Source organism: Homo sapiens, chromosome 14 (assembly GCF_000001405.40).
Source record: "Homo sapiens chromosome 14, GRCh38.p14 Primary Assembly".
In the NCBI taxonomy this organism is placed as follows: Eukaryota; Metazoa; Chordata; class Mammalia; order Primates; family Hominidae; genus Homo; species Homo sapiens.
The window spans coordinates 92,813,144-92,840,134 of record NC_000014.9 but is presented as its reverse complement, the minus strand read 5'-3'; the positions used below and the strand labels follow the sequence as shown (position 1 = coordinate 92,840,134).

At 39.2% G+C, this 26,991-nt stretch overlaps 1 protein-coding gene across 3 annotated transcripts in view; it reads right to left on the bottom strand.

The window, feature by feature from the left end:
* The window catches only part of GOLGA5 (golgin A5), a 45,643-nt gene continuing 18,839 nt past the window's right edge, over positions 188–26,991 (bottom strand). For 2 of the 3 annotated variants that reach the window (XM_047432021.1, NM_005113.4), the window contains exons 7-13: positions 23,714–23,884; positions 20,299–20,427; positions 15,491–15,589; positions 6,788–7,013; positions 4,471–4,576; positions 2,686–2,749; positions 188–769 (exon numbers count right to left, since the gene is read on the bottom strand). In XM_047432021.1, coding sequence (XP_047287977.1) covers positions 689–769; positions 2,686–2,749; positions 4,471–4,576; positions 6,788–7,013; positions 15,491–15,589; positions 20,299–20,427; positions 23,714–23,884 — 876 coding nt within the window. In that variant the 3' untranslated portion in view covers positions 188–688. The remainder of the gene's footprint in view (positions 770–2,685; positions 2,750–4,470; positions 4,577–6,787; positions 7,014–15,490; positions 15,590–20,298; positions 20,428–23,713; positions 23,885–26,991) is intronic. The other variant, XM_011537420.4, reaches the window with a different exon arrangement.

The window sequence follows — 26,991 nt, the reverse complement described above, 5'->3', positions numbered from 1 at the left end:
ATCCAAGGAAGACAGCACAGGGAGCTGGAAAGGGGAAGACAGGAGCATCCATTGGGAAGAAGTGGCAAACACTAAGAATTACTTACAAGTGACTTCAGCTGCTTTCTGTCTGGCTCTACTCACTAAAGTCCGTCTGGAAAGGTCTTGTTTAATGGGGATGAAAAACCATTATTTTAGAAAAGAAAAATGCATATTTTTCTTTTATTTATGTATTTATAAAAAGATTTACACCAATCAAGCCTGTAACATGTACAAAGTAAATCTTTTTGCAAAGTTAAATATATGAAAATCCAAAAGCAGACTGAATTATAAAAAAAAACTTTTTATTTTTGTCACTAAATACAATTAGTTTCCCTGATTATAACCCATAATCAATGTCACCTAACATACAGATGGTCTGTACAGAGGTGAACAACCCCACCATCTTTCTCTACATATATATTAGGACCACTAAACTCAGATAAAGCAGAGCTGAGCTTGTTAAATTATTGTCTGTTTTAGAAACTCTTACCATTTAAAGGAAATTGGAAGATTTAGGTAGAATACTTGTACAATAACTTAAAAAGTTAAAAGCTTGTAGTGATAAAATAATCTTGTGCACTGTTCTCAGAAATTTTAGGCAATTGGCCTTCTTGCAGATCCCAAGTCTAGAAAAAGACAACCAATCACTGCAACAACTGGGCTTGGTTCATTTGCCATATGGTTGGTCGTGGTGCATTTCTGGTGTGTAAGTCAACAGAACAATCATGACCCAGAGGTGAAGCAAAGCCTAGAGAAAGAAAAAGCAATTTGTGGATTAGCCAATAAACCAATTTTTACCAAAGGCCCACTGTACACTGAGGGCAGGCACTGTGTCTTACCTGCCTCTGTATCCCCTATGGGACACATGAAGGAATGAATGAAACAACTAAATGAGCTCAGTGCAATGGAAGGTAATAAAGACTTGCTACTCCTACAGAATTCAGTTGAGAGGAGTCAGCTCTGAACTTCAACACATTCACAATATGCACGTGTATGCAAAATAATCAGTTGATTATAATGCAGAGTGATTAAAACTGCTAGATACACATGAAGTTGGTTAGAAAACACTTTTAGAACAGTTATAGTTGGTATTCTGAAAGAGAGTTTAACCAATGTTCGGTGAAGAAGAGATGGGAAAATATTCTAGACAGAAATAATGTGTCGTTTCAGAGGCTGATGTAGGGCCCAGAACACGATTCATAGTGACAAATTTAATTCCCTCATGGTAGTACCGAAATGATACGAGATTCCATCACTAAGTGCCTCACCACTTTGTCGTGTGCCAGAAATCACATCTCATGGGCACCATCTCATGACAGTGCCCGTGTTACTCATCATCACTAACACCTGGGAAATCAACCCCTCTGGGGCATATTCTGAATGCTTTCTGATGCCATTCAATTTTTTTTTGTACTCCCCACGCTTTCCTTCTTAAAAACTTGTTATTATGCCAGGTGCAGTGGCTCACACCTGTAATCCCAGCACTTTGGGAGGCCGAAGAGGGCGGATTACTCAAGGTCAGGAGTTTGAGACCAGCTTGGCCAACATAGTGAAAACCCATCTCCCAAACACAGAAAAATTCGCTAGGTGCAGTGGCGTGCGCCTGTAGCCCCAGGTACTCGGCAGGCTGAGGCAGGAGAATCGCTTGAACCTGGGAGGTGGAGAATGCAGTGAGCCAAGATCATGCCACTGCACTCCAGCCTGGGTGACAGAGCGAGACTCAGTCTCAGAAAAAAAAAACAACACAAAACCTGTATTTAAAGGAATAACTCTTCCCTCTAGTGGATCACAGAGAAATTTCTTTTTAAAGAAATTTCTTTTCAAGAAAACAGCCCATTTTCATTCAACCCAACTACTTTTAGACATACCCACTCCAAATAGTTAGCAGCCTTTTTAGGCACACGGTACATGCGAAATGGCATCCCAAACTACCGTAACCATTTTACTAGAGGTAAGAAATCTGGGAGAAAGTAAATCAATCTTGAGGCTCTTTTAGAAAATAAAGCAAAACACATGAAAACAATTAAAGCAACTTTACAACGTCAAGATAAAAAATTGTTTTGTATTCAAATTGTTTTTATCATTAGAAGGGCTTTAAAATGGAGGTAACTATTAGACTGCGTTTAATTTTATTTGTAGGAAAAGCCTTTGAGGAATTTATATTCTAGACATAATGAATTGTCAATTTATACTCTACCAAAAGAAATCTTAATTACTAAAACTGAGTTCTCTCTTTCCAAACTGTCTGCTGGCTGGGTGCGTTGGCGCATTCCTGAAATCCCAGCACTCTGAGAGGCCAAGGTGGGAGGATCACTCGAGCCCAGAAGTTTGAGACTATCCTGGGCAACATGGTGAAACCCTGTCTCTACAAAAAATACAAATATTAGCTGGGCATGGTGGTGCACGCCTGTAGTCCCAGCTACTTGGGAGGCAAAGGTGGGAGGATGGCTTGAGCCTGGGAGGTAGAGGCTGCAGTGAGCCAAGACTGCACCACTGAACTCCAGCCTCAGCAAAAGAGCCAGACCCTGTTTCAAAAAAAACAAAAAAAAATTGATTGATTGCTAAAATATCAATAAGATCTGTAGCCAAAACAAACAAACAAACAAAAAAAAAAACTAGTTAAAAATCAAGTGCATCATTGTTTTTTCAAATAAATTTACTTACCATATATATAATTACAAAAACTCGCGCTATGGGGTATCTTCGGAGAAAAATTCCCAGGCGAATACTGTGCAGACACAGGTGTGAGGGGGAGAGGAGAGAGAAGAGTCACAGTCAAAACAAATCTTCCTGTGGTAATATCTAATGATGCTGATAAATTTAACTCATTTAAACTATTTATGTGGCTACCACAGAAGAACAATTTTTATAGCAGACTGTTAAATGATTACTTGAAATAATAATATAAAAATGTCATAGAGGTAAATAAATGCTTTTATCATTATTTGGGGCTTGGCTGTTAAACTTCAGCACAGGTATTTCTCTTAATTCTACAGCCACAACTGTAGGAGGCAAACTTGATCCCTAATTTTTTTTTTTTTTGAGACGGAGTTTCTCTCCTGTCGCCCAGGCTGGAGTGCAATGGCGCGATCTCTGCCCACGGCAACCTCTGCTTCCTGGGTTCAAGCAATTCTCCAGCTTCAGCCTCCCGAGTAGCTGGGATTACAGGTGCGCCACTACCACCACGCCTGGCTAATTTTTTTGTATTTTTAGTAGAGACGGGGTTTCGCCATGTTGGCCAGGCTGATTTCAAACTCCTGACCTCAGGTGATCCGCCTGCCTCAGCCTCCCCAAAGTGCTGGGATTACAGGTGTGAGCCACCGTGCCCGGCCTAAATCTTTTTTTAGTGGAATTACAGAAGTTACGAAAGATTAGGTGGGTGTCAACTATGTGACTGGGGAAAAAAAGAGTCTGGTTGGCATTAACCTGCAAATAGCTAATCTAGAAGCTTTTGTATAGATACATGCTTCTAAAAGGTACAAAGCTATAAACTCATGCATTTGAATAAATAGTGTGGAAGCAATATGATGTCCAGATCTATTATGCCTCTGCAACATTTTTTTCCCTATCAAGACAGATACATGCAGAAGCAATACCCCTTTCTGCTTCTTTCATTGCCACTAGCACAATGTCTTGCACTTAGGTTCTCTAACAACTACGTATGTTGAATAAATGAATAGTTGAACTAGATGTGCTTAATTTGGACATAATGGCTATGGCATCCTAGTTCTGAGGCTTCAGTCATCTTGGTATATCATTCTTATTTTTAATACAATAGCTCAATTCTGACACAAAAAGGTACAAAAAGATTATTATGCCACAATTCATTAAAACTTTTCATTATAAACACTACAAAGAAAAAGGGTACAGTAGGTTATTTAGACAAGAACCTTATCAATGCTATATGTAAACTATTAAAATATTTTTTTGATAAGGCAGATGTCTGCTAATATAAAAAATTTACATATACATAAACATAAATTTTGTTATTTATATAAAATATATAATACAATGAGTGCTGTTCAGCTATATATAGTAGCATCTTTTATTCTAATAGCATGATAAAATTCTGGGATAAAACATTCAAATGGATACTTTTACATGAAGTAGAGGCTTTCTCAATAAAATTTAATGAAGTTTTTAAAAATAGAATTTATTATAGAAAAAAGAGATACAGTCAGGGTTAATCATCTTCAATAAAATGTAGGCATTGGCAGACCTCTTGACATAATTTCTGACATGATATTTCAAATATCATGAAAGAAGTCACTTCATGAAAGTGTAATATAACTGTGAAATAAATAAAAGTGTATATAAGTATAAAATATCTTGAAAGGAGTAAGTCACTTTAAATATAGACTCTGCCTGATGGGAGTCACTGTGATTGAAACCCTGAAAAACGTAAAAACAGCTGATGGTCCATCACTCATCCCTACTGGCATTGCTTACCTAAACTGATCAATTGAACTAGCAGCTTTGCGAACTTTTCCGTACATTCCTGCCAGATTAGTTTCTGTGTCATTAAAAAGAACAGGAACATTTCGCAGACGAGTGCCTGTTTAAATAAGAAAATAAATTAGTGTACTGACATAAAAATTAACTAAGACAATTATAATTGGAAATACACTGTATTACATGTGGAAGGAATTTTCAAGGGCAACTTTCTAAGCATCACCCCAAAGTAGATGAAACTATAAAGAAAGGACAGGTAAATTTGATGACATAAATATTTAAACATCCATATCCACAACAAGAAAAAAGTTTTAAATAAGAAAATGATTTTAGCAAAAATTAAGAAATTTACAAATACTAAGCGTTGACAAGAGTCAATATTAATGGGCCCTTTGTTCCTATGTGAGGAGGAGTGAGGCCGGGTGGTCTTTCTATGAAGCAGAGGACTCCCAAATGTGTACTCCAGCCCAGAGGCTTCATCCCCTGCCAGACTCATCCAACTGCCTATTCGCTTCCATCCAGATATCTAACGGGCACCCCAAAGCCTGCCTAACACTACAATTCAGAGTTCTTGTCCTCGCTGTCAACCTGCCTCAGCTGCCATTTCCCTGTCTCAGGACATCACAATTCCAATCCTTCCATCTGCTCAGGCCAAAACTCTTGACTTCTTTCTCTCAAACTCCGTATCTCATCTGCCAACATATTCTGTCAGCTTACCTTTAAAATAAATTCTCAGTCCACCTTCACAATCCCACTCAGTTCTAGACTACCATCTCTCACATGGATTAATGCAATGGCTACCCACCCACCTCCGGCCTCCTCTTGCCCTGTCTCCCTGCTTCCACTTTTAGCCCTGTGCAGTCTATTCTTGACATGGCAGTCAGAGGCAGCCTATTAAGGTGCAAGTCAGATCAGTCCCCCCTCTCAAGATCCTTCAATGGCTTCCTACCTCATTCAGAGTAAAAGTCCCCATACAGGCCTCAACGGCCTATTCTAAGCTCTCTGGATTCATCTTACACAAGTGTCTTCTTCACTCAGTCTACTCCAGAGGCCTTGGCCTCCTTGCTGTTCCTGAAATATGCCAGGAACATGCCTGCCTCAAGGCCTTTGTGCCTGCTCTTCTTTCTGCCTGGAACACTTTTTTTCTATGCCTCCTCATTGTTCACTATCTTACCTCCTTTGGGACTTTAAAGAAGTGACACTTTTCACCGTATGTTCTCACTCATAGGTGGGAATTGAACAATGAGAACACATGGACACAGGAAGGGGAACATCACACTCTGGGGACTGTTGTGGGGCTGGGGGAGGGGGGAGGAGGGATAGTATTAGGAGATAGACCTAATGCTAAATGACGAGTTAATGGGTGCAGCACACCAGCATGGCACATGTATACATATGTAACTAACCTGCACATTGTGCACATGTACCCTAAAACTTAAAGTATAATAATAATAAAAAAATAAAATAAAAAAAAAAAGGTGAAACCTAAAAGAAACTGAAAACCCTTAAAAAAATCACAGAAGTTATGGTCAGGAAAATTTTATTAATTTAAGCGAGGCACTTTTTATTTATGCCATTAAGGAGTATGATTTACTTATTTATAATTTCATTTTTACTTGTAATTAACAATTACAAATAAAATGATAATTATACATTAAAAAAAAAAAAGAAGTGACACTTTTCAACGAGGTCTTCCTGATCACCCTTTTTAAATTACAGTGCCATCCCCATACCTGGCACCCAGCGTCTCTTAAACAATTTTTTTTATTAAAAGAAATAATTTAAAGCCAAAGAACTGAGAAATTTGCTGAATGACAATTTGTAGACTTTACGAAGTTCCAAGATTAAAAATCTGATCTGTTGATGCTTATACTATCTTACACATTATTTTTTAATTACATATGTTGGGAATCTATAGATTTCTTTAGATATGGTTATGTGAACTATGTATTAGCTCTAATACCCGTAACTATTTACTGGAAGATTATTAAAGCAAATCTTGTTTCAAGTGTCCTGAAAGCTCCTCTCTACTGAATTCCTCGCCTTGTCAGCATCATCTTGTTAAGTGTCTCAGACATTACAATATAATTATCAATCCTCAGACTACTTTCCCCAAGTCTAATACTGGTGAGGAATATTAATTAGTCCATTATCCGGTTCACTAACAATACTAAACAGTACGTGGCCCAGGTCTCATATCAGAAAATTGAGTCCTTCACTGGATGAAGTTTCTTTCAAATAAAAATAGTCCTTCTATAACTTTTCAAAAGCATGTTTGAATGAAATGTTCTTTTGAGATTCCTTTTTTGATTACCTTCACCATTGTCAATTCCAGACATATTAATCGAAGACCCATTACTACTACTTCCAGAGGCGGAGTTCATCTGCTGTTCGAGGCGCTCCAGTTGAAAGACCAGGGAGTTCTTTTCTGTGCTGAGACTCTCCAGCATGGTCTGTTTCTGGATGAGAGTCTCTGTTAGCTGATGGAGTCGATTTTCTAACTCAGACTGACTGCTATTGCTTAAAGTTTTATTGGTAAGCTGAAAGAGAAAGTGTTCACAAAATTCTTACATAAAATGAAAGTCATACAATACAGAAATCACACTACTACATTTTCATAGGTAAATTGTGGCATTCATTGATTTCTCAAAACTCTATACTGACTCAATGTCTACAAAAGTGATTTTCAAAAACTGGGGTCATGAAATCAATTTGGTGGGTCAAAATCAGCATTTTAGAAAATGTAATAGAATGGGACATATTCTGATATTTATGTAACATATAGTATATATAAAAGTATAATTTTGTGAAACTCCTGTTTCAGTTTGGTACATGTAAGTGCATGTCAGTACTGAGACACGATGTAAACTGTTTTTCTCACTGAGGCGTCATGGTCAAAGTATTTCAAAGCATGGGTTTAGAGGACACAATCCACACTTTTCAACAGGGATTCAAAAGCCTCCGTCATTCAACAGTTACGGTGCAGTGCAAAGATCACACTCTGAGGTTTTCATCTCTGCTCTGCAATTTTCAAGCTATTTGACTTCAGGTTAATTGCTATACTTCTCTGAATCTGTTTCCTCATCTGTTAGTGAAGATGACAGCACCCGTTGCACATGGTATTTAGGGACAGTAAATGATAGTTGTCCTAGGAGACTCTGGCTGAAAGTTGATACTTAACGACTTCCTTCATTCCATCTTCCATCTGGTCTTATCTGTCTCCATCTCCCTCTACTCTCCTCCAGCCTCCGCTATGCCGGCCACGTTTCCTCTGTTTGGAAACTCAATCCCCTTCTCTTATCTAGGCTCCACCTGCCTTTCTTTCTTATAAATCCCTTACAGCACTCCCCACAAATTAAGTACACCACAACAAATAACTACCAGATGGAATTATATTGAACATAAACTAAGGTTTACTACTTAAAAAAGAATGCTCCATTTTAAGATTGCACTGTGATCCCCTAATCAACATACTTCATACTCTTTGTTGAAGTCTTCTCTAATCACTCTAGCCCAGGTTAATCTTAGCTTTCTTGGTAAATGTCTTGGTATTTATCAGTCACTCCGATAACGCTGTTTTATGGGAGTCAATTTTGCCTCCTCAATGACACTGTAAGTCAGCTTCATGAGGGCAAGAATCATTGTCTACATCAATACAGTATTGAAAAAAGTTTGATCTAAGTTTAAAACCCCAGCTCTGACATTTCCTAGCTACAGTATCTTGGGAAAGCTATTAAATCTGAGCCTGTTTCCTTGTTCATAGGATATGATGCTTACTTAAATTAACATATAAAACACCTAATATGGTACCTGTCATATGGTAGGCACTTAAAAAATTAGCTTCCTTTCTTATGAATCCTTTACAGCACTCCCCACAAATTAAGCACACCACAACAAATAACTACCAGATGGAATTTTATTGAGTATAAACTAAGGTTTACTATTTTTAAAAGAATGCTCAATTTTAAGATGGTACTATGATCCCCTAATCAACATACTTCAAGATTTTTTAATCAAGGTAAAATCTATATAGTGAAATACCCAGGTATTAAGCAAAAAACGAACTGTGACAAATGTTTGACGGTATAGTCAGCATCAAGATCAAAACAAACAATGTTTCCATCACCCTAGACAATCACTATTCTGATTTCTATTAGCAGAATTTAGTTTTGCCTATTCTTGAATTTCCTGAGTGGAATCACACAGTATGAATCCTTTTGCACATGGCTTTTAAAAAAAAAAATTCATCTGAGTTGTGTTAGTTTGACGAATGGTTTGCAATTTGTTTATCCATTACCTGCTGATGGACATTTGGGTTGTTTCCAATTTGGGCTATTTATGAACAAGCATGTTACAAATATTCATGTACAAGTCTTCTAGTGGTCATACATCTTCATTTACACTGGGTAAATATCTAAAGTCACAGGTTAGATGTACGTTAGCCTTATCAGAAACAGCCAGTTTTCCAAAGTGGTTGTGCTGCTGTGCACTTCCACCAGCAGTGGGTGAGAGTTCCAGCTGCACCACATCCTCACCAACACATGCTACTGCCAATCTTTTCCATTTCAGCCATTCTAGTGGGTGTGTGGTAGTATACCTTAGTGATGACTCTGAGCACCTATTCACATGCTTATTTAATCATTCATATACAGGCACACCTCAGAGATAATATGGGTTTGGTCCACTGGAATAAAGTGAATATTGCAATAAAGTCAGTCACACGAATTTTTTGGTTCCTCAGTGCATATAAAAGTTATATTTAGGCCAGGTGTGGTGACTCACGTGTGTAACTCCAGCACTTTGGGAGGTCAAGGTAGGAGGATTGCTGGAGCCCAGGAGTTCAAAACCAGCTTGGGCAACATAATAAGACCCCACCTCTACAAAAAATTTACAAATTAGCCGAGTGTGGTGGTGCATGCCTGTAGTCCCAGCCACTTGGGGGGCTGAGGTGGGAGGACCACTAGAGCCTGGGAGGTCAAGGCTGCAGTGAGCTGTGATCGCACCACTGCACTCCAGCCCGGGTGACAGAGCAAATATCCTGTCTCCCAAAAACAACAACAACAAAAAGCTGTATTTACAATATACTGTAGTCTATTAACAGTGCAGTAGCATGATGTCTAAAATAACAACGTGCATACTTTAAATCAGGGATGTCTAATCTTTTGGCTTTTCTGGGCCACACTAGAAGAATTATCTTGGGCCACACACAAAATACACTAACACTAATGATATCTGATAAGCTAAAAAAAAAAAATACCAGTCACAAAAAAAATCTCATAATGATTTAAGTTTACGAATTCTGTGTTGGGTTGACTATGGGTCGGACAAGCTTGCTTTTGTTTTTGAGACGGAGTTTTGCTCTGCCGCCCAGACTGGAGTGCAATGGTGTGATCTCACCTCACTGCAACCTCCGCCTCCCAGGTTCAAGCAATTCTCCTGCCTCAGCCTCCTGAATAGCTGGGATCACAGGTACCTGCAACCATGCTCGGCTAATTTTGTATTTTTAGTAGAGACGGGGTTTCACCATGTTGGTCAGGCTAGTCTCGAACTCCTGACCTCAGATGATCCACCTGCCTCGGCCTCCCAAAGTGGTGGGCTTACAGGCGTGAACCACCATGCCCGGCCCAAGCTTGCTTTAAATAAACATGCTAACCATCATTTGAGCCTTCAGTGAGTCCTAATCTTTTTGTTGGTGGAGAGTCTTGCCTTGATGTTGATGGCTGCTGACTGATCAGAATGGTGGCTGCTGAGGGCTGGGGTGGATGTGGCAATTTCTTAAAATAAGATAACAACAAAGTTTGTCACATCGATGGGTTCTTCCCTTCACGAAAGATTTCCCAGTAGCATGTAATGATGTTTGATAGCATTTTACTCACATCAGAACATCTTTCAAAACTGGAGTCAATCCTTTAACACCCTGCCAGTGCTTCATCAACTAAGTTAATGTAGTATTCTAAATTCTTTGTTGTCATTTCAACAATGTTCACAGCATCTTCACCAAAAGTGGATTCCATCTTAAGAAATCACTTTCTTAGCTCATCGGTAAGAAGCAACTCCTCATCTGTTTAAGTTTTATTATGAGATTGCAGCAATTTAGCCACATCTTCAGGCTCCATTTCTAATTCTAGTTCTCTCGCTATTTCTACCACATGTGCAATTACTTCTTTCAATGAAGTCTTGAACTCCTCAAAGCCATCCTTGAGGGCTGGAATCAGCTTCTTCCACACTCCTGTTAATGTTGATATTCTGGCCTCCTCCCATGAATCACAAATGTTCTTAATGGCATCTAGTATAGTGAATCTTTTCCAGAAGGTTCTCAATTGACTGTGCCTCAAGATCCAACTAAGGAATCTATGGCAGCAATAGCCTTATAAAAAGTATGTCTTAAGTGATAAGACTCGCCAGGCACAGTGGCTCACTCCTGTAATCTCAGCACTCTGGAAGGCTGAGAGGGGAGGATTACTTGAGCCTAGGAGTTTGAGACCAGCCTGGGGAACATAGTGAGACCTCATTTCTACAAAAAAACAAAAGTAGCCAGGCGTGGTAGCTTGCACTTGTAATCCCAGCCACTTGGGAAGCTGAAGTGGGAGGATCACTTGAGCCCAGGAGGTGGAGGTTGCAGTGAGCCAAAATCACACCACTGCACTCCAGCCTGGGTGACAGAGTGGGACCTTGTCTCAAAAATAAATTAACTGGCTAGGCGCAGTGGCTCATGCCTGTAATCTCAGCACTTGGGACGCTGACGCAGGTGGATTGGTTGAGGCCAGGAGTTAGAGACCAACCTGCCCAACATGGCAAAACCCCATCTCTACCAAAAATACAAAAATTAGCCCAGTGTGCTGGCATGCACCTGTAATCCCAGTTACTTGGGAGACCAAGGCACAAGAATTGCTTGAACCCAAGAGGCAGAGGTTGCAGTGAGCTGCGATCAGGCCACTGCACTCCAGTCTGGGCAACAGAATCAGGCTCTGTCTCAAAAAATAAAAATAAATAAATTAATTAATTTAATTAAATAATGAGACTTGAAGGTCAAAATTATACCTTGGGCTGCCAAATGGATATTGTATTGGCAGGTATGATTTCATAAACAATGGATGAAACAAAAATGTTTTCATAAACAACATTAATCTCCTTGTACAGCTCTATTAGAGTTCTTGGGTGACCAGGAATGTTGTCAATAAGCAGTAATATTTTAAAAGGAATCTTTTATTCTGAGCAATAGGTCTCAACAGTGAGCTTAAAATACTCAGTAAACCATGCTGTGAACAGATGTGCTGTCATCTAGGCTTTGTTGTTCCCTTTACAGAGCACAAGCAGCACAGATTTACCATCATTCTTAAGGGTCTTAGGATTTCCACAATTGTAAATGAGCACTGGCTTTAACTTAAAGTCACCAGCAGCATTAGCCCCTAACAAGAGAGTCAGCCCGTCCTTTGAAGCTTTGAATCCAGGCAGTGACTTCTCCTCTCCTGGAGAAGGAGCTATGAAAGTCCTAGATAGCATTTTCTTCCAATAGAAGGCTGTTTCATCTACATTGAAAATCTGTTGTTTAGTGCAGCCATTTTCATCAATGATCTTAGCTAGATCTCCCAGATAACTTGCAGCAGTTTCTCCATTAGCACTTGCTGCTTCACTTTGCATTTTTACATTTGGGAGATGGCTTCTTTCCTTACACCTCAAAACCAAACCTCTGCTAGCTTCAAACTTCTCTTCTGCAGCTTCCTCACCTCTCTTAGCCTTCACAGAATTGAAGAGAGTTAGGGCCTTGCTCTGGATTAGGCTTCGGCTTAAGGGAATGTTGTGGCTGGTTTGATCTATCCAGACCACTCAAACTTTCTCCTTGTCAGCAATAAGGCTGTTTGGCTTTCTTATCATTCGTATGTTCACTAGAGTAGCACTTTTAATTTCCTTCAAGAACTTTTCCTTTGCATTTAAAACTTGGCTGACTGGTGCCAATAGGCCTAGTTTTGGGCCTATCTTGCCTTTTGACATGCCTTCTTCACTAAGCTTAATCATCTCTAGCTTTTCACTTAATGTGAGAGACATCTGACTCTTCCTTTCACTTGAACACCTAGAGGCCATTGTAGGTTTATTAATTGGCCTAATTTCAATATTGCTGTGTCTTAAAGACTAGAAAGGCCTGAGGAGAGGTAAAGAGATGTGGGAATGGCCAGTTGATGGAGCTGTCAGAACACACACATTTATGGATTAAGTTCACTGTCTTATGTGGATGCAGTTTGTGTGCCCCCAAAACAATTACAATAGTTATATAAAAGGTCACTGATCACAGATCACCACAGATATAATTAAAAAATCAGAAATATTGTGAGAATTACCAAAATGTGACACAGACATGAAGTGAGCATATGCTGTTGGAAAAATGGTGTGGACAGACTTGCTTGATGCAGGGTTGCCATAAACTTTCAATTTGGTAAAAATGCAGTATCTGCAAACTGCAATAAAGAGAAATGCAATAAAACAAGGTGTGCTTTTTTCTTCTTTTTGGAAGGGTCTATTCAAGTCTTTTACCTATTTAAAAGAAATGGCTGTGCACCTTATTATTAAGAGTTCTTATCCTGGTTATAAATCCTTTATCAGATATATATATACAGAGAGAGAAAGTAAATATTATTTCCCAATCTGTGGCTTACCTGTTTTTATTTTTATAATCTCTTTTGATGAGAAGAAAATTTTAATTTTTATGAATAGCAATGTATCATTTTCTTCTACAGTTAGCGCTTTTTGTATCTTCTCTAAGAAATCTGTCAGCCTCAAAATTGCAAAAAGATTCTCCTACACGTTCTCCTAGAAGCTTTATAGCTTAGGCTTAGCGTCATCTCAAATTAATTTTTGGTAACTTTGCAAGTCTAATTAGGGGATAAAAATAAAGGTTCATTTTTTTTCTCTGTATGTTTTCATCTACTCCCATGCAATAATTTTCTTTTTTTTCTTTTTTTTTTTTTTGAGATAGAGTCTGGCTCTGTCTCCCAGACTGGAGTGCAGTGGCACAATCTTGGCTCACTGCAACCTCTGCCTTCTGGGTTCAAGTGATTCTCCTGTCTCAGCCTCTCAAGTAGCTGGTATTACAGGTCTGCACCACCATGCCCAGCTAATTTTTTTGTATTTTCAATAGAGACAGGGTTTTGCTATGTTGGCCTGGCTGGTCTTGAACTCCTGGCCTCAAGTGATCTGCCCACCTTGGCCTCCCAAAGTGCTGGGATTACAGGTGTGAAAAATGAAAAAACATTCAAACTGGCAACCTATTTTTTTAACCTACATGCAGAAAGCCCAAAAATAATAAGCATAATTCTTTATTGTTCATTCAGAATAAATCTTAACTCACTCCAATTGTGTGATTTTTTTTTTTTTTTGGCAATGTATTAAGATGCTGATCTCTTTTCAGATTGTACAAGTCAACTTAATTCTACGGGACAAAGGTTTTGCTCTCTTCTAATTTGATGAAAAACCTTTCAGAGAAATCCTCCTATGGTTAATTCTTTCTTTTTAAGAAACAAAGTCTCTCTCTGTTGCCCAACTAGAGTACAGCGGGGTGATCATAGCTCACTGCAGCCTTGAACTCCTAGGCTCATGTGATCCTTATGTCTTAGCCTCCCAAGTAGCTGGGACTTACAGGTACGTGCCACCATGCACCTAATTAAAAATATTTTTTTAGAGATGATGGTCTCGCTATGTTGCCCAGGCTGATCTTGAACTCCTGACCTCAAGTGATCTCCCTGCCTCAGCCTCCCAAGTAGTTAGGACTATAGGCATAAGCCACCCTATGGTTGTTTTTTCTTTTTTTTTTTGAGACAGGGTCTCACTCTGTCACTCAAGGTGGAGTGTAGAGGTGCACTGAGAGCTCACTGCAGCCTTGACCTCCCAGGCGCAAGTGATCCTCCCATATCAGCCTCTGAGTAGCTAGAACTACAGGTGTGTGCCACCACGCCTAATTTTTTGATTTTTTGTAGAGACAAGGTCTCACTATGTTGCCCAGGCTGGTCTCAAACTGCTGAGCTGAAGCGGTCCTCCTGCCTCGGTCTCCCAAAGTGTTGGGATTTCAAGCATGAACTACCTCACCTGGCCTAATTCTTGATTAACAAAAATGGTGCAATACTTCAGATACAGTAGGTACTCAATAAATATTTAGTAAATATAGAAAAAGGATTAAACCAATTGGTGGTTTTTGCTCCTTCTTTTGACTTTCTGCTAGCACATCACGTGACCATCTGTAAGTATTTCACAAAATAGGCAAGGGAAGAAGGGAATGCTCAAATCAGTGAGCTGTTCTCAACTCTTATAAAAATTAAGACAAAGTATTTCAAAACATTTAAAATTATGGACTACTATCAAGTCTGGAAACTTAAAAGACCAAAATTATTTGACTTTTCATAGTTCAAACTAAGCCATTAACTAAAAAATAAAGACTCAATCTTTATGTAAATTATTTAAATGATTATTAAGTCCATTAAATCAATTGTCTAAACCTAAGGAAGGAAAGGACAACTATGATTACAGGGAATGTGAACGTGTGACTCTATCAGCTAATGATAAAGGCTTTGGTAAGTCTGGGTGGTAGGCACATGAGTGTCATTATTTTCTGTACATTTTACATTTTCACGGTTAAAAAAATATCTTGGTGACTTTATGGAAGACTGATCAATCATTAATAGGAAGATGTATCATTAGATTTTTCTTAGGAAAATGAAATCACAATTATGAACCTGGCAATCAGCACAACCACACTGATGTCAAAGGTCTGAAATTTCGGGGTAATTCTCATCTACTTCGTGACTTTGGCTACAAGATACTTCTATAAGAAGCAAATCATAGAACAGAGCAAATGTAGACTCAAATGGCATTAGATGAATTTTCTATACCAGGTTGAAAAGAACTTTTGTCACCACTGTTACAAAAGAACTCAGGTGAAAACACGGGGAAAGTTCTTACTGTGTCCTTTTTAAAAAAATGTAGCTTTATCAGTGGCATCTTTTCACAAGTTGTGAATAGTGATTCATACCTGATTCCTGAGTTTTTGAATTTCTTCGTCTCGATCTTTAATTCTGCTTTGCAATGTGTTCTTTGTTCGATAAAGATCTTCTTCTATATAGTGGAACTCCTGCAAAGTGAGGCACAAACAAAACAGAAGCGAAATAAGTGTCCCCTATTCCATCCTCAGTACCTAAATCAGTGCCTGGCACATGGTAGACAATCAGTATGTGCTGAACATGTAACTCCGTATATAACTGAGTTTATAACAGAGTGTATTATATAATGAGTATATAATTAAGTGAATAACAGATGGGTCTGATGAAAAGCTGGCACTTCAGTATGTATTGTAAACAAAGATCCATAATAAATAATTATTAACAGTGTAAATAATCAGAAACAAAAAATGTTTATCTTGTAATGAGGAAGAATGGATAATCTCTTCAAGAATCTCAGTTATATAGCATTAATATGACAACTGGAAAAAATATTCATAAAATATATGATAAAGATCAATATAATGTTCATAAAATAGATTAAAAACACAAACCAGGAACATTTTAAAAATAGGCAAAGTACATGAGACAAAGAAAAACAATAATTCAGTAAGGTGGCAGAATATAAAACAATATATAAAAATCAATAGTTTTATATAAAGCAGTTAGAAGATATGAGAAAAAGGCCCCAAGAAATAATAGTAGCAAAAACAAATTTAACAACAGATGTGTGGAGTACATATAAAGAATACTTTAAAACATTTCTAAAGGGTACAAAAAATACTGGAACATATAAAAAGTCATATCATATTCTTAGGAATACAACATCATAAAGATGTCAGTTCTCCTCTAATTAATTCATAAGTCTGACATGATCTCAACAAAAACAAAAGCTGCTTTTTTTAAAAAAAACTATGTAAAGTTATTCTAGTATTCATATGGAAAACTGTAAGAAAGAAAAGCCAGGTTGGGCACGGTAGCTCACAACTGTAATTCTAGCACTTGGGGAGGCTGAAGTGGGTGAATTGCTTGAGTCCAGGAGTTCAAGACCAGCCTGAGCAACAGAGTGAGACCTCATCTCTACAAAATATAAAAAAATTAGCCAGGCTCGGTGGTGCGTGCCTGTAATCCCAGCTACTCAGGAGGTTGACGTGGGAGAATTACCTGAGCCTGAGGAGGTCGAGGCTGCAGTGAGCTGTGACCGCATCACTGCATTCTGGCCTGGGTGACAGAGTGAAACCATGGCTCAAAAAAAAAAGAAAAGAAAAAGAAAAGCCAGAAGCTCTGAAAAGGAGAACGGGTCATAAAGACATTAAAACATATAAAATCTCAGAAATTAAAAGCAATGTGGTACTGATGCATAAACAGACAAAGTGACTAATGGAAGAGAACAAAAGTCCAGAAGCAGATCTAGATACCTTGAGAATTTAGGACATGATAAAGGTGACATCTCAAATCAATAAACTATTTAAAAAAATGATACTAGGAAAAAAGTAGCCATATGGAAGAAAATTAGGTTGGATCTGTAGCTCACCTCACACATCAGAGTAAATTCCTAATAAATCAAAGATTTATATGCAAGAATCAAACCAAAAAAGTACTAGAAGAAAACTACAGAGGCAAATTTCTTTATAATTTCACAAAGAGGAACACGGTGACTGAAAATCCAGAAGCCTTGGTAGAAAAGAATGATAAAGTTGACTACATAAAAATCAACTTCTGGCCGGGTGCAGTGGCTCACAACTGTAATCCCAGCACTTTGGGAGGCTGAGGCAGGTGGATCACTTGAGGTCAGGAGTTTGAGACCAGCCCTTGGCCAACATGGTAAAACCCTGTCTCTACTAAAAATACAAAAATTAGCCAGCCATAGTGGTGAACGTCTGTAATCCCAGCTACTCGGGAGGCTGAGGCAGGAGAATTGCTTGAACTCAGGAGGCGGAGGTTGCAGTGAGCCGAGATCGCGCCACTGCACTCCAGCCTGGGCAACAGAGCGACACTCCGTCTCAAAAATCAACTTCTGCATGGCAACAAAACAAAATAAAAACCCTATGCAAACTAAAAGACAGATGACAAGCTGGGAAAAATTATTTGCAATTCATATTATAGACAAAAGGCTAATCTCCCCAAAAAGGCTAATACCTCTAAACTCATTAACAACTGCACTAATGCACTGCTCGTTTGTACAATGGATCACTCAGAGACAGCTCAGAATCTAAGAGTAAAGCACATGCCAATCCAAAAATGTGTCCAAATCACTGAAATACAACGTAGAACAGAGAAGGAGTAACTGGAGTTACTAAGTACTTTCAAAAGCTTTTCACTTAACAGTGAAGACAGTGAAGAGTACAGCAGCAGTTCGGGAGCTGTCTGAAAAAGTAAAGGTGATATGGCAGCACACTGCTAGAGACTCTGTTAAACATTTAGCTCAAGTTGTTCATCACACAAATGGAAAAAAATCAAGAGAGGTGAGAAAAGAGATTATGAGAAAGGTAATTAGGGTAGGAGAATCACACTTTACAAGGTTTGTCTGATTTCTTTTAAGCTCTAGGCAAGTACAAAACTTAAGGTTGGTGTTACTTAAATTAATAAGAAGCACTAAAGGACTCTTCAATTGCAAGATTAAACACTTTCCATTTGGAACATATACTAAATAAATAGCCCACAGCTACATTAAGCTCCATTTTCTTCTATTTAACTCCCTCATTTTAAAAAGGCACTGGGAAGAGGTACGGTAAAACCATCTGCCATAACAAAATGAAAATTATCTCATTAAGCATCAAGAACATTAAATTGTTGCCTTTTAATATATAATAGTGCCTTGAATAAATTAAAATGCAATTTCTGAAAGGACGCTAATCTCATAACTAAATTATCTAAAACTGCCTATGACATACCCTGCACGTTGTTACTTGGTGAGTTTTTCACTGAGTACTCAGGAAATAGAGTTGAATTACAACTTTTATAATAAAAAACATTTCTCTGAGAAAAGAACAAGTTTCAGAAGTAATAAATCCTAATGAAAAACGTCTTTAAAGAATTTAAATACACAAAGATGGAAATACTAACAGTAAAGCACTGAGAATTATAAGAATAGTTTTCTCTTCTGTAAAATAAAGAGAATAGTAGTGATTTACTTGTGAGTAGGAAATAAGATAATATGTACTAAATGCCTATAACAATGTTGTCACTTAGTAAATTAGTGATGTTATTAACATTAGATATAGAATCTTATTCTGAAAATGTGGCTATGTTTAACTCTGTTAATACTGAAACTATTATATGAGTACATTAAAGTAAAATAATTTGGCTTGGGAACATGCAACTGCTAATTGAACAATGAAATATAATTTTAAACATGATTTGTTAGAAGAGTCTGTATAAGACTTTTTTCTCAAGCAGAAAGAACAGTTAATATGGCACTAATATTGTATCTGTATTTTTATTAAATAATATTTACTGCTGTTCCTAGAAAGCACAAATGCAATAAACTATGAAAACCAACTGATGAATATAATATGTTTTGAAGTTTTCTATACTAGGAGATATAACAAAATACAGACAGGGTAATAGAAAGCATTCTGGGCTCAGAAACAGGAAACCTTGGTTCTATTCCATCTTTAATTAGTTGTACCAGGCAAGTGCCATCACCATTCTGTGCCTCCATTTCTCATCTGTTAAAAAACAAAAATCAAGGAGGATGGTGTAGGGAAAAGAAAGAGAGATCAGACTGTCACTGTGTCTATGTAGAAAAGGAAGACATAAGAAATTCCATTTTGACCTGTACCCTGAACAATTGCTTTGCCCTGAGATGCTGTTAATCTGTAACTTTGCCCCAACCTTGAGCTCACAAAAACATGTGTTGTATGGAATCAAGGTTTAAGGGATCTAGGGCTGTGCAGGATGTGCCTTGTTAACAAAATGTTTACAGGCAGTGTGCTTGGTAAAAGTCATCGCCATTCTCCAGTCTCGATAAACCAGGGGCACAATGCACTGCGGAAAGCTGCAGGGACCTCTGCCCTGGAAAGCCGGGTATTGTCCAAGGTTTCTCCCCATGTGATAGCCTGAGATATGGCCTCGTGGGATGGGAAAGACCTGACCGTCCCCCAGCCCGACACCTGTCAAGGGTCTGTACTGAGGAGGGTTAGTAAAAGAGGAAGGCCTCTTGCAGTTGAGATAAGAGGAAGGCCTCTTTCTCCTGCCTGCCCATGGGAACTGAATGTCTCAGGATAAAACCCGATTGTACATTTGTTCTATTCTGAGATAGGAGAAAAACCGCCCTGTGACTGGAGGCGAGACATGTTGGCAGCAATGCTGCTCTGTTAGTCTTTACTCCACTGAGATGTTTGGGTGGAGAGAAGCATAAATCTGGCCTACGTGCACATCCAGGCATAGTACCTTCCCTTGAACTTATTTGTGACACAGATTCCTTTGCTCACATGTTTTCTTGCTGACCTTCTCCCCACTATCGCCCTGCTCTCCTACTGCATTCCTCTTGCTGAGATAATGAAAACAGTGATCAATAAATACTGAGGGAACGCAGAGACCGGTGCCGGTGAAGGTCCTCCGTATGCTGAGCGCCGGTCTCCTGGGCCCACTGTTCTTTCTCTATACTTTGTCTCTGTGTCTTATTTCTTTTCTCAGTCTCTCATCCCACCTGATGAGATATACCCACAGGTGTGGAGGGGCAGGCCACCCCTTCAGATGAGATGGGAAGGCAGGAGGAACTTGTGGGGTAACCCTAAGCCCATACTCTAAAAATTTCAGTAAGCTGCTTTCCTGGGAGGTCTGCTCATATGACCGCTAGAGGACAGAGTCTCAGAAGTCATCAATCTCAAATCCTGACCTGCTTCAGTCGCTCCAGTTCTGTCTCTAGTTCTTGTTTGGATGCTTTCTGCCCAGCTATTTGGTCATGCAGATCCTGTAACTGTTCTCTTGCTGATTCTGCTTCATTAACTTGCTGTGCCTCCATATCCTAAAGAGAAAAAGCTTACATGTAAAAGCAATAATTAACATTCAGTTCAACATTTATTGAGCAATTTTTCTTTTTTAAGAATCAGAGTCTCACGTCACCCAGGCTGGAGTGCAGTGGCACAATCACAGTTCATGGCAGCCTCAAACTCCTGGGCTCAAGGGGATCCTCCCACATCAGCCTCCCGAGTAGCGGGACTACAGGCACATGCCACGAGGCCTGGCTTAAGTTTTTTTTTTTTTTTTTAAGAGATGGGATATGGCTTTATTGCACAGGCTGGTTGCAAAGTCCTGGCCTCAAACAATCCTCCCACAGCACTGGGATTACAGGTGTTGAGCCACACAACCTGTCTACCATGCAATTACTATGTGCTGGGCTCAGGAGGCACTGAGGAATAAAGGTGAATGAGACATGGTTTCAGCCTATAGGGAGCATATAACCTGACACCTTCATTGTCTACTATGGCTAACAGCAGAATGAATGGGGCGCTACAGCTGCTGCAGCACATAAGCCATGTGGTTTCACGAGTATCGGCAGAGGCTCACTGGGAGACTTATATCTTTACTCAAAAGCTAACAGTTTCAAAAAAAATCAGAAACATAATAGCACAAAGGACTTCACTGCATTAGTCCCCTGAAATTGCAGGTTATAATTAGTTTTGGTGTGCATCTGTTCCCCAGTAATCAACATATGATAAGAATATAACTTGTCTTGCATATCACCAGAAGTTGGCATATAATTTTCTTCTTTTAGCTTTATTACTTTATTACTATTATTGGTTTTTACATGTTCTTATGTTTCTTACTCTCATTTCTTTGAACTCACCTTCTGGATTTCCTGTCAAATCTCCTAGTAGCAAAAACATGGCTCTAGGTTTCTATATTTTCCCCAAATGGATTAAGCATGAGTCCATTCATATGGCACAACAGAAGATTAAAATCAGCATCTTATTTTTGCTTTTTTATCTGTTGGTACATTCTGTTTCATACTCATCACCACAAACCTTGGAACTTCACATGCTGTTTGAAAGAACTAAGACTAACAAGATGCCCAGATAATCACAGTGCAATCCTCTGAACTCACACAACTTTGTAGATTTAGAGGAAAAAGCAATAATGACAACTATTTTTCCCTACCTTTGAGTTTTCAGGTTAGCAGAAGGTAGATTAATCTTTGTCATCAATTTGACTACATCGGGCAAATTCTTGAGAGGCAGGCAGTATGCACAGTGGTCAAAAACATGTCCTGGAGTTAGACTAGGTTCTAATCCTGGCTCTGCCACTTTACTAGTCTTGCAGCAAGTTACTTTCCTTCTCCATGCCTAAATTTCTTCAACTATAAAATGAGAATATCATCATCTCCCTCACAGAGTTATGGTAAGGAATAAATGTAAGGATATATGTTAAGTGCTCTGTGCAGTATCTGGAACATACGTGCTCAGTAAACAATAGCTATTGTAATTATTTACAATTCTTTCATTTTGTTAGACCTAACACTTATTATACATTGCATAAATTTTGAGAAGGGTAAGAAAATGGGTCAATGTCATTAATGATGCTGATATATTAAATAAAACAAGTATTTTTCATAATCTCACCAAAAAGACATGAACAGATATGAGTAAGTTTAGCATCTACCCAATTTCTAAGTTTGCAGGACTGAATTCTTTGGAATTCAAATTCACAGATTAAAAAAAAAATCCTACTTTAATGAATAACAATAAACCCAGAAATAATAGCAGCTATTATTTAACTGAGGGTCTATTACATGTCAGAAACAATGCTAGGCTCTTCATATATTATCCTTTATTGTCAAGAGAACCTTTGTTTACCTGCATTCTATAGATGAGAAAATTAAAGCTCCGCAAGATGAAGTGCCTTGTGGAAGCAGCATCTGTTAAGTACCAAAGACAGAATCTATCCACGTCTGTCTGCTATTCAAGTCTATGCTCTAGACAAGGTATCCTATTCTCACAACTTTCACGCTTTCTTTTGTAGTTCACAAGTCTCACAATGTGCAGAGTTAATGCATGGATGAACATTCTCTACAAAAAGTTTCTTCCTTTTAAGAAAAGGAAGCTCGTTATGCTGCACTTTATCTTCTCTCACCTTCAGAGACTCCTTCCTACGATATTTATGTCAAAGACCCCGAAGTTTAAGCAAAATAAATGGCCCAACTTTACTTTTAAATATAGTAATTATACATAAACTATAAATTATAAGAATAAGGATAAAACTGTAATTAGAAGATCATCCCTGAGCCCATACTAATATTAGAAAACATCTCAGCTTCACATAGGAGCTCAAATCTGATTTGCTTTTAACCACTAGAATGTAAGATCTATAATTATGAAGACCCTGTTCTAATTCCAAACCTAGGCACATGGCAGGCACTTGGTAACTATTTGTTGAATGAATTGATCTGTTTTTTATCACCATAACTTTATGGTCAACTTATGGATTAGAAACCTGGTCGGGCATGGTGGCTCACGTCTCTAATCTCAGCACTTTGGGAGGCCGAGGTGGGCGGATCACTTGAGGTCAGGAGTTCAAGACCAGCCTGGGCAACATGGTGAAACCCCATCTCTACTAAGAATACAAAAATTAGCCAGGTGTGGTGGCGCACGTCTGTAATCCCAGCTACTCAAGAGGCTGAGGCAGGAGAATCCCTGGAACCTGGCAGGTGGAGTGGAGGTTGCAGTGAGCCGAGATCACGCCACTGCACTCCAGCCTGGGCAACAGACCGAGACTCCATCTCAAAAAAAAGAAGGAAAGAAAGGAAAGAAAGGAAGGAAAGAAAGGAGAGAAAGGAAAGAAAGGAAAGAAAGAAAGAAAGAAACCTACTGCTTTAGCCCAGCACGGGCTGCAACAGCCCTGCAATCCCAGCACTCTGGGAGGCTGAGGAGGGACAATCACTTGAGGCCAGGAGTTTGGGACCAGCTTGGACAACACAGGGATACCCTGTCTCTACAAAATATAAAAATTAGCTGGGCGTGATGGCATGTGCCTGTAGTTCCACCTACTTGGGAGCCTGAGGCGGGAAGACTGCTTGAGCCCAGGAGTTCGAGGCTGCAGTGAGCTATGATCACACCACTCCAGGCTGGGAGACAGAGCAAGATCCTGACTCCAAAAGAAGAGAAGAGGAAGAGGAGGAGGAAGAGAAGAGAAGCGAAGCGAAGCGAAGAGAAGCGAGAAACCTATCGCTTTAGTAATGCTGTTTCCCCACCTCTCAAACTGTTAACACCTGAGGGTAAATGGTGTCTACTAAGCTGAACCACCATGAATCTTACCTGTAATTCGGATCTGAGCTGATGTATCTGGCCCATCAGCTTCTGTATTTCCTCCCTCTGCATCTCTTTCTCATGCCGAAGTTCTTCCAGCTCCATGCTACTGGCAGTGCTGCTATCTAGGCCTTCAAAACCAGAGCCTTCTTTCAAGCTGTTAATCAATTTTTCCTTAGACTATTATAAAAGAAGAAATATGTTTAAGCAAAGCAGAGATTAGTTTGTATATTGAATATCATCTACTATACAGAAAATAACCCACTAAAAAAAATTCCATTATCTCCATCAAAGAAAGTCCACAGATTTTCTTAAATCCCTAAGGATAAAAAACACAACAGAGCCTTGCTGTATAATGTCCTTGGACTTTAGCCCCACAATCATGGTAAAGTTGAAAGCTTGTTATGAATAAGATTTTTTTTTTCCAGCTGGGTGCGGTGGCTCACGCCTGTAATCCCAGCACTTTGGGAGGCTGAGGCGGGCGGATCACGAGGTCAGGAGGTCGAGACCATCCTGGCTAATATGGTGAAACCCCGTCTCTACTAAAAATACAAAAAAAATTAGCCAGGCATGGTGGCAGGTGCCTGTAGTCCCAGCTACTAGGGAGGCTGAGGCAGAAGAATGGCGTGAACCCGGGAGGCGGAGCTTGCAGTGAGCCGAGATCGCGCCACCGCACTCCAGCCTGGGTGACAGAGCCAGACTCCGTCTAAAAAAAAAAAAAAAAAAAAAAAGATTAAAAAAAATTTGTGTTTATTTATTTGAGATACGGTCTTGCTATGTTGCCCAGGCCGGTCTTGAACTCCTGGCCTCCAGGAATTCTCCTGCCTCAGCCTCCCAAAGTGCTGGGATTGCAGGAGTGAGCCATCACACCTGGCCAAACAAGACTTTTCTCACATTTTCTTCTCATAGTTTTTATTTTCCAACACATTCTACCCAACAAGTAAATGGTGCTAAGTGTTCTGCGCAATAAAGATAATGTCTCTCTCTATAGATAGTACCCTCTGCCTTACAAACTAAAAGAGAAGTTACAAGTATCCAGCAGAAGGCAATCAACACAAGTAGAGAAAAGGATATGGTCAGATTACTTGCAGAGTTCTGAGAGGAAAAACCACTTCTGGGTAAGAGGAGACTTTAAGAGAGCATAAATGTTGGCCTTGAAATATGGGTAGACTTTTTTAAAGTGCAGAGAAAAACAGAGAGCAAAGCATAAAAATGCAAAAGCACACAAAGTCTGTAAGAAAATAATGTGAGATGCAGCTCAGATAGTATTTTAGCACCAATTTGGAGGGGCTCCTGATCTCAGGCTAAAATGTTTTAATATTATATGGCAGGCTAAAACAAATTACCAAAAAGTAGAGAGAGGAGTGACATGACTAGAGATGCATTTTAGGAGGCTAACCTGGCAGTGCTATGAAGAAGGTGCTCACAAATGATGGTCCGTGGGCCTGTTTTTGTACAGCCTGCAAGCTAAATTTTTTTTTTACATTTTAAAAGGATCATAAATAATAAAGACAAAGAATATGTGATGGAGACTACAGGTAGCCAACATAGCCTACAATATTTACTATTTGACCCTCTCAATGTTTTCTGACCCCTGAGATAAAAGATGAGTTTGAAGAAGAGATTTGACATGCAAAGACCAGTTTATAAAGTCCTAATTCTAGACTAGGAACAACAAGGACCAGCAGCTTTCACGTTAAATTAAAATATTTTAAAGTCATTCTCCTCCATCAAAAATAATTTTTCCTTTTCTGGGTGGTAGGATTATGGGTTATTTCCATTTCCTTCTTCAAACTTCTTTTGTATTCTTCAAATTTTCTATAATAAACATGATCATTTATAACATTTTAAGATTTTTTTTAATAAAAAACCAGAAACCTCCCAACCTCATTCCCCCATCTAGCTACTGTCCTCATGTCCATGGTCAAGTACCCTGCCTCCATGTCTTCAGCTCCCAGCGCACCCCGGAACTCTCTGTTGAGAGGTCCCCAGGGACCTCCTAGTTGCCAAGTCCAGGAATTTAGCTCGGGACTTGTCACATCAGAGCCGCGTGCTGTGGTTGGTGATCATGCACCACTTGAAACTCTCCCTCTGCTTGGCTTCATTGGATGGCATCAGTCTCCTCCTGGTTCTCTCCAATCTCTGACCACTCACCTTCTCAGTATTTTTCTTTTGCAGGCTATCCTTTTGCCCAATTTGTAAATGCTGATGTTTAAGACTGTGTTTTTAGACCTCAGCCTTTCTCCCCGTTAGGTTACACATCGCTCTTGCCTAAACTTACCTACTCTCCCAACTTACTTCTAATTACCTTTCTAACATTGTCACCTCAATGTTGCATCAATTTTGCATACTTACCATAATTCGTCATACTCTCCTTTAACCCTAACCTGTTCTCTTTCCTGTTTCCCCTTTTATTAACACAAGGAAACATCATTCATACACTTAAACCAAAAACCTGGAGTCATCCTGGATTCCATTTGCCTTTTTCCCCCATCCTTCCAGTTAAATCTCCACATGTCATATATTCTATCTCCCACATATCTCTTAGCTGTCCCCTGCCTGCCATCCTCACTGCCAAAAACTTTGATCAGGTCCTCATTATTTCTTATGATCACCTCTTCACCATCTACATGCCATTGATGCCACCCCTTATCACTTCCATGTTTTCAACAATGTACCGAATACCAGGCACTGTGCTGGGGATACAACGATGAACAAGACAGAGGCCCAAATCTCCCCTAACCTTTTCATCAGGCTGCCACAGTTCTCACACTCAAACCTGACCATGGCTTCTGCCTGCCGTTGAACTTTATGAGTCTTTTGCCTCCCATCTCTGAAGACGTTATGTTCCAGCAGTATGGAACTAGCTGCAGTCCCTTAAATATGCCATGTTCTCTCTGGCCCCCTTGCTCTGGCACAGGTTGTTCTCTCGGAAATCTCTTCCCTATCATGAGTCTTCCTATTCATCTTTCAAGTTTCTCTTTATACCACATCTCCTCAGTCCAGTGATCTTTGACAGCCTCAGGCAAGTTTTAAGGGATTCTTCTCTCAAGCTCCCATTGTACTGCATTAATAACCTTATTACGTCAATTATCTGTTTCTTTCCACTAAGATGAATGTTTTCTTAAAGGAAGAGGACACATCTTTTGAGCTTTGTATCCTCTGTGCCTAGTGAGTAGTTAGGTGCTCAATAAGTAACTTTTCAATGAATTAACAAATTAGGGTGATACAAAAAAGTACTTAGAAAGAAGAGTTTGAGGAGGAGATCAATATGATACTTCATGGAA